The following is a 15,943-nucleotide window of genomic DNA, read 5'->3' as shown; positions in this document are numbered from 1 at the left end:
CGAGACTCCGTCTCAAAAAAAAACCAAAAAACCAAGAGTAAGCAGTCGACAGAGGCCCACAGGGAGGATAGTGATTCAAATGGGCACAAGAAGTACTCAAAGAGTCTAGTATGTAGATTAGCAATACAGAAAAAAATGTCCATCAATAGAACTTAATCACTCAATGCTCAGATTTCCTGTCACTAATGAAAAGATAGGTCACATTAATCTCAATCAGGGTTTCTCAACCTCAGCACTACTGACCTATTTAGGGCCAGATAACTGCTGTGGAGGGCTGTCCTGTAGATTAAAGGAAGTTTAGCAACTTCTCTGGCCTCTACCTAGTAGATGCCAGTAGCACCCGCCTCCACCCAGTTGTGACAACCTAAAATATCTCCAGACATTGCCAAATTTCCCCCGGGAGGCAAAATCACCCCCAATTGACAATCATTATTCTAAGTCAATTTTTAGAGTTAGATTGCTTTTTAGCATTTTTATTGCTTTCAATATAGTAAGAAATGAGTCTCTATTGAGGACAATTAGTTTTGCTAATTTGTAATGATGCTAGATATTAGCGATTTTATTAGTAATACTTGAAATAATGAGCAAGGGTTCTATATGATGAATCTTTATAATTCAGTCCTAAACAATCCTGTATTGTTAAATTACTTGGTCTTATCAAAGCCTAATCAGAGAATATGTGACATTAGTTGTCAGATTTGAGAGCTTGAATGCAAGATTCTAACTATGAGGAATCCAAAGCAGGAAACAGCCCAGGTATCTGACTGGCAATGCTAAGGCAATAGATTCAAAAGCGGAATGAGGAGCAAGTCTTGGGAAACAACTTTATTTGCTAGGTAGATAAAAGCTAGATTAATATAATGGTACATCTGGAACTTTGGATTGGACTTTAGTAATTATTATATCCCAATTCCATTAGTTCACAAATGAGATAACCAATTTTTTTTTAATTAAGAGATTTGTCCAAGGTATACCAATAAATAAATAGCATTAATAGGACCTAAATCTTTTTACTCCAAATTCAATGTTTTTTCTACTTTACTCCTTTGCTTCATCTAAATAATTAGACAATATCCTAGCATGCCAATAGTTCTTATATGATAAGTATTGTAAGAACAGACATTAAGTCATACTTACAGAAGTTCCTGGAGAGACAGGATTCTCTGTGTCATCCTGTACTACCTTCTTTTCAAAAAGTTTTGAATCCTGGAGAAGTGTAAGTGTAGAAAATACTATTGCAGCACTAAAATAGAAAATATATTTTAAATGTTATCAGTATTATATTTGTGGCATCTGTATGTTATTTCCTAAATCACTTTCTCCAAAAAACATTCTCACACCCCAGCCAACAACCCCCAAAACTGTTAGGTGCCATTTCTGCAGGCCCTAATAGTACCCTGGTCTTAACCACACACTAGTACTTGTCATATTTCATTGCCTGAGTATTGCTTCACAGCTAATTTGTCTTATTCCCTATTGAAATTGAGCATCTACCATAGTGACTGAGACATAATAGAAACTAAAAAATATTTTTAAATGAAAATGAGTGAATAGAAGAATAAAGGAGTGACGTTTCCAAGATCCAAAACAAAATGTATTGGCAATCTCATTTTAATAAAATGAGTATATATGTACTTTATGTACATCAGAATGTGATTCTCCAGCTTTCTGAGGTCATGGAACTATGTTACCTAATGCTATTACACTTAGAAATTCAAGCTAAATTATTGTTTAATCTCTGTCTAGCAGTGCCAGAAAGGAAATGTACTCTGTCAAGAAAATGGAGGCCAGGAGTTAGGAATTCTTCACTTCCTGTTGCTCCATACATAAATTTGTCTGTATTTTAAGCCGTTATATTCTCCTCCCCTGTCGAATAGTAAACTTATCATTGCATCACACTTCTTCAAAATATTTTAATGATATATATTAAGAGCTGTCTTCTTTTGAAAATGTATTCCAAAACAAAATTCAAAATACAGAACAACCTGTATGCCTGAAGATGTTCATCACACACACATTAAAAAAAAACTGGATGAAGGCCGAAATATATCCATCCAATTTCCCCACTTAACAGCTCCACTTGAATAGTTAATCGACAGTCACATTTAACAGGTGTTATGAGTTGAATTTTGTCTCCCCAAAAGGTATGTTGAGGTCTTAACCCCCTGTACCTCAAAATGTGACCTTACTTGGAAATAAGTTCGTTACAGAAGCAACCAAGTTAAAATGAGGACATTAGGCTGGGTCGTAATCCAATATGACTGTTGTTTCTGTAAAAAGGGAGATTTGGGCCGGGTGCAGTGGCTCACGCCTGTAATCCCAGCACTTTGGGAGGCTGAGGTAGGCAGATCACGAAGTCAGAAGATCAAGGCCATCCTGGCTAACACGGTGAAACCCAGTCTCTACTAAAAATACAAAAATTTAGCCAGGCGTGGTGGCACGCGTCTGTAGTCCTAGCTACTTGGGAGGCTGAGGCAGGAGAATCGCTTGAATCCAGGAGGCGGAGGTTGCAGTGAGCCGAGATCACTCCATTGAACTCCAGCCCGGCGACAGAGTGAGACCCCGTTTCAAAAAAAAAAAAAAAAAAAAAGGAGATTTAGACATAGACGTGCTTGGAGGGAAGGTTATGTGAGGACACACAGGGAGAAGAGGGCCATGCAACAGGACTGATGCACCTACAAGCCGAGGAACGCCAAGGACCGCCAGCAAATGCCAGAAGCCGGAAGAGGCAAGGAAGGATTCTCCCCTAGAGCCATTAGAACAAGTGTGGCCCCATCGACACCTCGATTTCAGAAGTCTTGCCTCTAGGACTGTGAGACAATAAAATTCCTTGCTTTCAGCCACCCAGTTTTTGGTACTTTGCTACAACAGTCTTAGGAAACCAGTAACAGCAAGTTAAAAGCAGACCCCTTCACTTCCATCTCCTCCACCCAAACCCACTCCTCATCCGTGTCCTCCATCCCACACGCAGAACCCAGAAGTTGCCATGGCTTCCCCTCTGTGAGTCGCACTTCATGTTCAATCCATCAACAGGCTTCACCTTCCAAATAGGGCTCCTCATCTCCTCCACTGCTAACGCGTTCGTTCAAGCCACGATCATCTCCAGGCTGGATGACCACAGTAGCTTCCTAACCAGTTTTCTGCCATGACTCTTGCCCTTGCAGTCCTGGTCTCCACACAGCAGCCACAGTGATCTCTTCAAGCTGTAAATCAGATTTACACGTTCCAGGGCCCTCCCCCATCCCCAGCCTGCCTTCCATGCTCGCTCCTCCTTTGGATCCGTTACTGAGATTCTGATGCAGTGTATGTTCAGCTTCATCAGTGTCCATGGATCCTATAAGAAGGCTCCCAGAAGGGGTACATATGCTCAGTGTTTAAATTACATTTCTATACAGGTCTATTGATCTATATTTTTGGTCAATATATCTCATGCCTGTAATCCCAGCACTTTGGGAGGCCGAGGCGGGCATATCACGAGGTCAGGAGTTCGAGATCAGCCTGGTCAACACGGTGAAACCCCGTCTCTACTAAAAATACAGAAATTAGCTGGGTAGAGTGGCAGGCACCTGTAATCCCAGCTACTCAGGAGGCTGAGGCAGGAGGATGGTTTGAACCCGGGAGGCAGAGGTTGCAGTGAGCCAAGATGGCGCCACTGTACTCCAGCCTGGGTGACAGGGCAAGACTCTGTCTCAAAAAAAAAAACAAAACATATATATATATAAAATATAATATATAATATATCTATTAAAAACTGAAAATATTGTGCTAACATTGGCCACAGAAATTCTCTCCTTTTTTTCCCCACAATCTTTTTTAAAAAAAGATAATAACTGGTATTTACCAAGTGTTTGCCACCTGACAGGTACTATATTAAGCACTTCCTGTGAATAAATTCATTCACTCCCCACCACAAGTCTACAAGGTTATAGATACAAGTTGAGTATCCCATATCCAAAAATCCAAAATTCTTCAAAATCTAAAGCTTTTTGAGTGCTGACATGACACTCAAGAAATGCTTGTCGGGGCATTTCAGATTTCAAATTTTCAGATTTGGGATGCTCAACTAGAATAATGCAAAAATTCCAAACTCCCCCCAAAAATCTGAAATCTGAAACACTTCTTGCCTCAGGCATTTTGAATGTGGGATACTCAACGTGTACTATTATCATCCCTATTTTCCAGATTAGAAAATGAAGACACAGAAATGTTAAATAACTTGATCCAAGTCACACAGCTAGAAAGAGGAGCCAGGTTCAAAACTCAGGCAATCAGCCCCAGAGCCTGTACTCTTATCTGTTACTCTATGACACCATCTCTGTCTTTTCACAGTTTCTACCAAGTTTGGTTTTGTTGAATTTTTGCTATCCATATAGTGTTAGTATCATATTTATGGCTGTTATATAGTCACTGTTGACTGTACCTTTCATCAATATCAATGGGCCTCTTGGTGCAGTTCAATGCCTTTTGCCTTGCATCCTACTTAGCATAATATTGATATTGCCATCTTTGTTTCTTTATCTTTTCTTAGTATCTTTGATAACTGAAAATCCTTTTAGTTTTAAAGATGTCTGGACCATTTTTGACAGTGATTTATAGTTCAATTTTATATCTACTACTTCAAGTAGCATTCTTCTTCTGTTCTAAGAAAAGCATCAAACATCCCATCCTTCTGGGACATTATTTTCCATCCTCTGCCTACCCCCTTTTCTTAGTTCTTAGTGAGGGCTTCCATATTCTTTCATGACCCTGCCTCCTTGGCCATGGTGCTTGGGACCAGGGATGGGCACATGAGCCAAGCCGGGCCAATCAGAGCACTTCCCTGGTATCTGAACCTGAAGCAAGAGACAGTCTTGTGCTCTCTCTCTCTCTGGTAAATTTGGGGCATTAGAAGTCTTGATCTAGTGGCAGACATGTATCCAGCACTGTAGAGGAAGCCAGCCTGATCAAATAAAGCTAACACATAATGCTGAAAGAGAGAAGATGGAACGAGGTGATTCCAGGAGCACTCAAGCCTTTGCTCTCAGTAAACCCTCAGGCCCATCCTTACCTCTGCCTTCCCCAGCTTTGTATTCACATGAATCAGAAAATTTCCCCTTTTGGCTGATTTGGCTTAAGTTGCGATTCTGTCACTTGCAACCAAAAAATCCTCACAAATCCAGTATGTTTCAACTATTTTACATTTATGGGCATAATTAACATGCCTTGTTTTCTTCTATTATTTTATGCTTTCTGAGTGTATTCTTCCTTTTTCCTTTGTTTTGTGTCTTCTGCCATAAGACTATTTCCCTTTTACTTTCCACACTGATTTGAAATATATATATTCTGGTTTAGATTCTAATAGCAGTTATGTTTAATATTTTCCAAAACACACTTCTCCATTAATCCATCTTAAAAACATAATTTCTCTACTCTGCTTCTCTATTTCTCAATGTATAAAATGAACCAACATATTTTTATTCCCTACATATAGGATGAAGAATTTCATAATTTTTAATTACCCTATCTCTCCCACATCCACTTGGTTATTAAAATCTGATATATTATCCCCAGGTCATTGTTAGTTATCTTTATACTCTATCACCTTTTTCAGGAATTAGTTTTGACATCTGTATTCAGTTATGCAAACTTATCATTATTTACACTGAGCCCAAACTAGCTCCAGTGCCCACCACCAGTCATTTTTACAGAATCACTGCCTCATTTCTCAGTCTTAACTATGAGATGGATCTCTTCTGTTGGCTGGAGTAGTTCCTTAAGCCTCTGCACAGTGTTAGGGTATCTGCCGAGGTTTTTGGATAGTGAACCCCTTCTGAGTTATGTGCTTAGAAGGTAGAGCGACCACTCTTCTTTCCTGGCCCCCGATGCTGTTCCTTTCAGGGGATAAAGTGGATGTAGATGATCCCTTGTGGTTCTGACTCCATCTTCATCTATGGGTTACATTTGAAAAAAAGTTTTCCCATTTCTTGCAAAAGTTGAATTATTATGCTTAGCTTTCAATTCTATTAAAGCTTTTCTATTTTTCTATCTCCGTGGGGAGCATGTCTTTCAATGGGAAGTTGGTGGAGAACCTATCAGGGAATATTACCCCAATGCTATTTTTCAGGTAGAAATCTGGACCTCATTCATTGCTTTAACTTCACTTTGTAAGCAGACAGATATTTTTCCAGGTGTATACATACTAGTTATAATTTCTTCTTTTTAATGAAAAGTTTATGGTATTTGACCATTTATCAACAGTCTCTTTTTATCAATTTTATCAGTAATTTTATGTAAAAATGAAAGGAACTATTTGTCATATTTACTTGAAGTAAAAATCTTGTTTTTCTATGTATGGTTGGTGTAATGGTTTTTGTTGTTATTGTACTTATAAAAATTAAAATATTTCACAGATTAAATCAGTTGACATTTTTCTTTGTAGTCAGTTGTAATTTTGGAAATACATATTTCTAGAGATTCTGTTATTTAATTGTATTTTTTTCTACTTAAAAAAACTTTTTAGTTCATGTGAAATAACCTAATTTTTAAGAATTCATACACTGGAGAGAGAGAGGTCAAATTCCACTTTTCCCATATATTAACTGTGTGATCTTGGGAACCCCAATTATCAATCTCATTATCTATAAAGCAGTAATGATGATAATAACAGTGCAAACTTCATGACATGAGATTATTATAAGGGTTAAATAAGATCCTTTCATAAAAATAAAGATCTTATTTAATCCTTATAATAATCCAAAAGTACATATGGAGCATCTGCTATGGGCCAGGGAGAAATCTAGGGGCTATGAATATAGCAGTAAAGAAGACAAACAAGAATCCCTGCCCTCGTGGAACTGACATTCTAGAAAGCATGGAGTGTGCTTAGCAAATAGGAGTGCTTGGCAAGCAGAGGCACATAATGCATGCTAGCTATTATCATTATTAATGTATTGAATTGGCCAGGAGAGGTGGGGAGAGACTAAATTGATTTTTTTTCTAATTTGTTAAATAACATCCCAATTTCTTAGCAGTTACTGAATTTTAAACTCTCAAGATTTTGCTGAGCCATTAAAATGGTTTAGATATTTGTAGAAAATTTTCTAAGGTGCTGTAATTAACTTGTTTTTTATTTAAAATAAAACTAACCAAGAAAATAACAACAACAACAAACATAGCATGGAGTCAGTGTGTGCACAGGAAACGTGCCCTCCCCACACTCTTCCTCCCTCAAAGCTACACACATTTCTGAGGCACCTCATTTACTCAGTAGTTTCCAAGGCTAACTCAGCATGGCTGATAGAAAACCCTGGAAAAAGAAAGTGGTACCCATTCCATTCTTCTCATCTTGAAACCCAAATTCTGATTTTAAGAGAAACAAGGTATGAGGTTTGGCATCTTACTAACCCAAAAACTTAATGAATAAAATATAAGACATACCAGTATGTCCTAATCCACTCGGTACTGCTTAGTTGCAGAATGGAAAATTTCTAGTTTCTCCACTACACTAGACAGATAGAAAGTATGTGAGGATTACCTACTGCCAACAGTCTAAAATCTCAAAAGAAGAAAGTTTCAGTCTGACACAAAATTAAAAGGCCCAAATATTTTTCCATTTAAACAATAGATCAAATGTAAAGGAGAATAGGAAGGAACACTTATTAAAAAAAAAAAAAAAAACCCACAGGATTTTGAAAGAAAGAGGCAGCCCTAGAAGTAGAAATACAATTTGAATAACTTTGATCCCATTTATTTCTTATTAGCATTCATGACAAAAATGGTCAGTTTGTTCTCATAAAATCCATGCAACTCACTCTACCTGTCACCCTAGGGAATGTGCCTTTCAATTTCCTTGACACATAATTTTATTAGAAGTATCATGAAATGTCAAGCTAACCATCATTTAAAAAAGGGACTGTCCAACACTCTCAGCAGTACCCAAACAGAAGCTCACAGGGGGTAAAGTTCACATGAGAAAAACTCATTCATCTTGACAGTAGGCTTCCCCTAAATGACAACTCTGCTCCAAAAAGGCAATAACATCAAAGTTTTTTGCAGGTTTTGTCCCAAGGGCCAGGTTCGTGTATTTAAAATAGGAGCAATTCTGATATACTTGCACACTATTTGCATATGTCTATCTGGTTTTCAAATTAAAGTTCTATTATGACAGTCCTTTCTATGGCCATTTTGTAATTTTTAGTTTCTCATTTCATTCTTCCTCCCCAAAAAGAATAAAAACCACTCATATCCTTCATACCAAAAGGGTATAGGATACACAGAGAGCTGGGGAAAGAATGAAGGTATTGATAAATATTTTCTAGGGCTGCTGTTGCTCTCTGACACATAGTTTGGAAAAAAAAAACAGTTCTATAGAGAATTATATAGTAAAAATGTCTTCTCCCTTCAAACTCCAATGGAGGAAATGGTATGTTATTATACTGAGCATATTCTACCATCAACTACCATGTGTCCTTAAAGATAGCTATACATATGACAATATTCTAAGCCAGTGGTTCTCAAGCTTTTTATTCTCAGCACCTCTTTATACCTCTAAAAATTATTGAGAACCCAAAAGAGCTCCGTCGACATTTGCCAACATTAGAAATTCAGCTAAAAATGTCTTAATTTCCTTAACATTTATTAATTCCTCTTAAAATAAAAATAGTAAACCTATTACATATTAAAATAAATAAAATATTTTATGCAAACAACTATATTTTCAAAAAAATTCATGAGAAGAATGCCATGAATCTCTTTAATGTCTTGTTTAATAAAAAACAAGCTACCAAGTGGCCAGGCATGGTGGCTCATGCTTGTAATCCCAGCACTTTGGGAGGCCAAGGCGGGTGGATCTCTTGAGGTCAGAAGTTTGAGACCAGCCTGGCCAACATGGTGAAACCCCAACTCTACTAAAAATACAAAAATTAGCCAGTAGCACACACTACAGTGTGCACCTGTAGTCCCAGCTACTCGGGAAGCTGAGACAGGAGAATCATTTGAACCCAGGAGGCAGAGGTTGCGGTGAGCTGAGATCCTGCTACTGCACTCCAGCCTGGGTGACACAGCAAGACTCTGTCTGAAAACACACCGCACACACACACACACACACACAAACACACACACCCCTACTTAACAGAAGATTGTTCATCTCTTTTTCTACACTCAGTCTTTCCTAAAATATTGTTTTGGTTGAAGTGTATGAAGATTAGGCGTCACACAGTCATTGGAAATGGGAGAAGTATTTGAATAGCTGCTTCAAATTACTGTTTTAAAGTTCTTCTTTGATACTACACCAATGTAGTATCAAAATGACAATTATCATGTGACAAGTGATCTTTTTTTTTAAAGTTTGTTGCAATGTAGAATTTAATACCACATATTGCTGAACTTTTCCTACTTTGTTCCATTAAAATCTACTGCTCTATCTTGTTCACTAGGATTTTGTAACATTATGCATAAGTCATTTAGGAAATATTGTCTCCCTGAGTTATAGAGCTCCCCCAAATATTGAAGCATTTTATTATACAATATTTTTAAAAGTCATGTTTTTAGTATTTCTACCAATCTGACAGGAAAAAAATCTAAATATTAGAAAATTGTCAAGCTCGTGGTGGCTCATACAAGTTTCCCAAACTTCTAGTTTTCCTGTGAAAGTTTAAATTCTATCATCGGCAACAAATACTATCAGTTCTTACCCTAGAGGTGGCATACTCACTTGGCTCATTTTCAATAAAATATTTGCCAAATACTCAAGTCTGAATAACCATAGTTTGTCCATTGTTTTTCAAATGAAAATGGTATTCCATGAAGAAAGCAGCCTGTCCAACTCTCAATTCAATCACACACATTCTTCTTCAAGTCAACCATAGCTTTCATAAGCAGCAGACATACCTAGGCATATTTCCCATATAATATTCCCATAAGATGTTAAAAATATATATCCAAGGATAGGGATTTATAAGTGCAAGATTTTACTGCCTCGCCAGGGGCATTCTTAAGTGAAACTGGCATTTTTTTAAATTACAAGTGTGCAGGAATGAAGACAGCAGTAACTACTAGTACAGTTTGGGGCTGCTGCTTTGATTCATGGTGAGGCGCCAGAAGTCTTATCATTGTTGCTTCTGCAGCATCAGTGTGAACGACACAGTGAATAATGCAAATGCTGTCTTAATTTTATTAATATGGTTCTGACCTCATGTACACCCCCATGCCCAGGGGGTCTGGGAGACACCCCCAGAGATGTGCAGACCACACTTTCAGAATCACTGCTCCAAACATACTTTACAGATTTTCATCACTGCTTAAAAACTACAAAAATTATAAATCTCCCAAATCCTCTGCTGTCATCTAGATTTAGATGTGGTTAGTCATGGAACAGCCTTCAGTCAAAGCTTGTAGGCTTATACTGATGAGATGATTATATGTTTCCAATCAAAGCAAATGAGGATTTCTGCTGAATTGATTTCCCCTTTGGGAAACATATAAGTGGGATTCTCCTGTTTAAAGAGAATGACAGTCTAAAAGTCTTAAATGCAACTCCTCTTCCAAATTTCAATTTGAATGGGGTTTAATGTATGGAATTTCATTATAAATGAAAAAAATAAGGAGAGAAAAAAATATTTTTCATCTAACTTGATCATTTCTTTTCTCTTTCAGTGACTATATTGTTTCATTTATAGAATTTCTATTTTGCTGTTTTCCAAATTCATCTGTTCCTTTTTTATGTTGTCTCACTGTTTCTTTGTAGATTCTCTTCTATCCTTCCTATCTTTGAACAGTTTGTTTCTTGGGCTGTGAAGTCTGACATTTATTGTGTCTGCTAACTCTCTGTTATGGCTGTTTCTTCATCTGATTTATAATATTTGACTCGGTGCTATCTTTGGTGGGAGTTATTTTCCATAGAAGTCTTGCATTTCCTGGGTTAACCTCTATGAGACTGTTCAGGGTATGCCTCTGCTCCAGCTCTATGATGTCAGGACCTTTTTAAATTAACTTCTCAGGGTTTCTGCATTTCATGGATGATGTCAATTTGGACCCCACAATTTCTAATGGCATCAGCCTGGGGAACTGATTTCTCTTGGGTGACTTTTTCCATCTGTGTCCCTGGCAGGCAGCTAGTCCCCTGGCTAGCCTCCAGAGACTATTCTGTATTCCCAAACTAGAGGATAACTTTATTCTGTATTAGAGAAAAAGAGAAGACTGGACCGGGCTCCTACTCGACTGTGTGCCAATCATATCAGAACATCACATTTGCTCTCTGTACTGGGTCTTTTTCATTATCATCTCTCATTTCAAGAGAATTTGTCTTGACCCTACTTCTACCAACTGCAGTCACCCTCTTTCTCTACTCCCCTTCATAGTAAAACTCTTCTAAAGAATCATCTTGGAGGAGCCAAGATGGCCAAATAGGAACAGCTCCGGTCTACAGCTCCCAGCGTGAGCGACGCAGAAGACGGGTGATTTCTGCATTTCCATCTGAGGTACCGGGTTCATCTCACTAGGGAGTGCCAGACAGTGGGCGCAGGACAGTGGGTGCAGCGCGCCGTGCGCGAGCTGAAGCAGGGTGAGGCATTGCCTCACTCGGGAAGCGCAAGGGGTCAGGGAGTTCCCTTTCCTGGTTAAGGAAAGGGGTGACAGACGGCACCTGGAAAATCGGGTCACTCCCACCCGAATACTGAGCTTTTCCGATGGGCTTAGGAAACAGCGCACCAGGAGAATTATATCCCGCACCTGGCTCGGAGGGTCCTACGCCCACGCCCATGGAATCTTGCTGATTGCTAGCACAGCAGTCTGAGATCAAACTGCAAGGCAGAAGCGAGGCTGGGGGAGGGGCGCCCGCCATTGCCCAGGCTTGCTTAGGTAAACAAAGCAGCCAGGAAGCTGGAACAGGGTGGAGCCCACCACAGCTCAAGGAGGCCTGCCGGCCTCTGTAGGCTGCACCTCTGGGGGCAGGGCACAGACAAACAAAAAGACAGCAGTAACCTCTGCAGACTTAAATGTCCCTGTCTGACAGCTTTGAAGGGAGCAGTGGTTCTCCCAGCACGCAGCTGGAGATCTGAGAACGGGCAGACTGCCTCCTCAAGTGGGTCCCCGACCCCTGACCCCCGAGCAGCCTAACTGGCAGGCACCCCCCAGTAGGGGCAGACTGACACCTCACATGGCCGGGTACTCCTCTGAGACAAAACTTCCAGAAGAACGATCAGACAGCAGCATTCGCGGTTCATGAAAATCCGCGGTTCTACAGACACCGCTGCTGATACCCAGGCAAACAGGGTCTGGAGTGGACCTCTAGCAAAGTCCAACAGACCTGCAGCTGAGGGTCCTGTCTGTTAGAAGGAAAACTAACAAACAGAAAGGACATCCACACCAAAAACCCATCTGTACATCACCATCATCAAAGACCCAAAGCAGATAAAACCATAAAGATGGGGAAAAAACAGAGCAGAAAAACTGGAAACTCTAAAAAGCAGAGCGCCTCTCCTCCTCCAAAGGAACACAGTTACTCACCAGCAACGGAACAAAGCTGGACGGAGAATGACTTTGACGAGTTGAGAGAAGAAGGCTTCAGATGATCAAACTACTCCGAGCTACAGGAGGAATTTCAAACCAAAGGCAAAGAAGTTGAAAACTTTGAAAAAAATTTAGACGAATGTATAACTAGAATAACCAATACAGAGAAGTGCTTAAAGGAGCTGATGGAGCTGAAAGCCAAGGGTCGAGAACTACGTGAAGAATGCAGAAGCCTCAGGAGCTGATGCGATCAACTGGAAGAAAGGGTATCAGTGATGGAAGATGAAATGAATGAAATGAAGCGAGAAGGGAAGTTTAGAGAAAAAAGAATAAAAAGAAACAAACAAAGCCTCCAAGAAATATGGGACTATGTGAAAACACCAAATCTGCATCTGATTGGTGTACCTGAAAGTGACAGGGAGAATGGAACCAAGTTGGAAAACACTCTGCAGGATATTATCCAGGAGAACTTCCCCAATCTAGCAAGGCAGGCCAACATTCAGATTCAGGAAATACAGAGAATGCCACAAAGATACTCCTCGAGAAGAGCAACTCCAAGACACATAATTGTCAGATTCACCAAAGTTGAAATGAAGGGAGAAATGTTAAGGGCAGCCAGAGAGAAAGGTTGGGTTACCCACAAAGGGAAGCCCATCAGACTAACAGTGGATCTCTCAGCAGAAACTCTACAAGCCAGAAGAGAGTGGGGGCCAATATTCAACATTCTTAAAGAAAAGAATTTTCAACCCAGAATTTCATATCCAGCCAAACTAAGCTTCATAAGTGAAGGAGAAATAAAATCCTTTACAGACAAGCAAATGCTGAGAGATTTTGTCACCACCAGGCCTGCCCTAAAAGAGCTCCTGAAGGAAGCACTAAACATGGAAAGGAACAACCGGTACCAGCCGCTGCAAAATAATGCCAAAATGTAAAGACCATCGAGACTAGGAAGAAACTGCATCAACTAACGAGCAAAATAACCAGCTAACATCATAATGACAGGACCAAATTCACACATAACAATATTAACTTTAAATGTAAATGGACTAAGTGCTCCAATTAAAAGACACAGACTGGCAAATTGGATAAAAAGTCAAGACCCATCAGTGTGCTGTATTCAGGAAACCCATCTCATGTGCAGAGACACACATAGGCTCAAAATAAAAGGATGGAGGAAGATCTACCAAGCAAATGGAAAACTAAAAAAGGCAGGGGTTGCAATCCTAGTCTCTGATAAAACAGACTTTAAACCAACAAAGATCAAAAGAGACAAAGAAGGCCATTACATAATGGTAAAGGGATCAATTCAACAAGAAGCGCTAACTATCCTAAATATATATGCACCCAATACAGGAGCACCCAGATTCATCAAGCAAGTCCTGAGTGACCTACAAAGAGACTTAGACTCCCACACAATAATAATGGGAGACTTTAACATCTCACTGTCAACATTAGACAGATCAACGAGACAGAAAGTTAACAAAGATACCCAGGAATTGAACTCAGCTCTGCACCAAGCGGACCTAATAGACATCTACAGAACTCTCCACCCCAAATCAACAGAATATACATTTTTTTCAGCACCACACCACACCTATTCCAAAATTGACCACATAGTTGGAAGTAAAGCTCTCCCCAGCAAATGTAAAAGAACAGAAATTATAACAAACTGTCTCTCAGACCACAGTGCAATCAAACTAGAACTCAGGATTAAGAAACTCACTCAAAATCGCTCAACTACATGGAAACTGAACAACGTGCTCCTGAATGACTACTGGGTACATAACGAAATGAAGGCAGAAATAAAGATGTTCTTTGAAACCAATGAGAACAAAGACACAACATACCAGAATCTCTGGGACACATTCAAAGCAGTGTGTAGAGGGAAATTTATAGCACTAAATGCCCACAAGAGAAAGCAGGAAAGATCCAAAATTGACACCCTAACATCACAATTAAAAGAACTAGAAAAGCAAGAGTGAACACATTCAAAAGCTAGCAGAAGGCAAGAAATAACTAAAATCAGAGCAGAACTGAAGGAAATAGAGACACAAAAAACCCTTCAAAAAATTAATGAATCCAGGAGCTGGTTTTTTGAAAGGATCAACAAAATTGATAGACTGCTAGCAAGACTAATAAAGAAAAAAAGAGAGAAGAATCAGATAGACACAATAAAAAATGATAAAGGGGTTATCACCACCGATCCCACATAAATGCAAACTACCATCAGAGAATACTATAAACACCTCTACGCAAATAAACTAGAAAATCTAGAAGAAATGGATAAATTCCTCCACACATACTCTCTCCCAAGACTAAACCAGGAAGCAGTTGAATCTCTGAATAGACCAATAACAGATCTGAAATTGTGGCAATAATCAATAGCTTACCAACCAAAAAGAGTCCAGGACCAGATGGATTCATAGCCGAATTCTACCAGAGGTACAAGGAGGAACTGGTACCATTCCTTCTGAAACTATTCCAATCAATAGAAAAAGAGGGAATCCTCCCTAACTCATTTTATGAGGCCAGCATCATCCTGATACCAAAGCCGGGCAGAGACACAACCAAAAAAGAGAATTTTAGACCAATATCCCTGATGAACATTGATGCAAAAATCCTCAATAAAATACTGGCAAACCAAATCCAGCAGCACATCAAAAAGCTTATCCACCATGATCAAGTGGGCTTCATCCCTGGGATGCAAGGCTGGTTCAATATACGCAAATCAATAAATGTAATCCAGCATATAAACAGAACCAAAGACAAAAACCACATGATTATCTCAATAGATGCAGAAAAGGCCTTTGACAAAATTCAACAACCCTTCATGCTAAAAACTCTCAATAAATTAGGTATTGATGGGACATATCTCAAAATAATAAGAGCTATCTATGACAAACCCACAGCCAATATCATACTGAATGGGCAAAAACTAGAAGCATTCCCTTTGAAAACTGGCAGAAGACAGGGATGCCCCCTCTCACCACTCCTATTCAACATAGTGTTGGAAGTTCTGGCCAGGGCAATCAGGCAGGAGAAGGAAATAAAGGGTATTCAATTAGGAAAATAAGAAGTCAAATTGTCCCTGTTTGCAGATGACATGATTGTATATCTAGAAAACCCATCGTCTCAGCCCAAAATCTCCTTAAGCTGATAAGCAACTTCAGCAAAGTCTCAGGATACAAAATCAATGTGCAAAAATCACAAGCATTCTTATACACCAATAACAGACAAACAGAGAGCCAAATCATGAGTGAACTCCCATTCACAATTGCTTCAAAGAGAATAAAATACTTAGGAATCCAAATTACAAGGGACGTGAAGGACCTCTTCAAGGAGAACTACAAACCACTGCTCAATGAAATAAAAGAGGATACAAACAAATGGAAGAACATTCCATGCTCATGGGTAGGAAGAATCAATATCGTGAAAATGGCCATACTGCCCAAGGTAA

The 15,943-nt window shown here is 39.3% G+C and overlaps 1 protein-coding gene across 2 annotated transcripts in view, besides 1 other annotated feature; it reads right to left on the bottom strand.

The window, feature by feature from the left end:
* The window catches only part of CFAP54 (cilia and flagella associated protein 54), a 385,979-nt gene that overhangs the window by 134,357 nt on the left and 235,679 nt on the right, over positions 1 to 15,943 (bottom strand). For both annotated transcript variants that reach the window (NM_001367885.1, NM_001306084.2), the window contains one exon: positions 1,138 to 1,243. In NM_001367885.1, the coding sequence (NP_001354814.1) occupies positions 1,138 to 1,243 (106 nt within the window). The remainder of the gene's footprint in view (positions 1 to 1,137; positions 1,244 to 15,943) is intronic.
* Positions 11,675 to 12,269: an enhancer, noted in NCBI's record as "H3K27ac-H3K4me1 hESC enhancer chr12:97122708-97123302 (GRCh37/hg19 assembly coordinates)". NCBI's record gives its function as "activates a minimal SCP1, AML or CMV promoter by ChIP-STARR-seq in naive H9 embryonic stem cells {active_cell/tissue: H9 hESC(naive)}" and the evidence as "EXISTENCE:reporter gene assay evidence [ECO:0000049][PMID:30033119]".

Source organism: Homo sapiens, chromosome 12, assembly GCF_000001405.40.
Source record: "Homo sapiens chromosome 12, GRCh38.p14 Primary Assembly".
In the NCBI taxonomy this organism is placed as follows: domain Eukaryota; kingdom Metazoa; phylum Chordata; class Mammalia; order Primates; family Hominidae; genus Homo; species Homo sapiens.
Note: the sequence above shows the minus strand (reverse complement) of the source record. Positions and strands in the feature narration are given on the sequence as shown.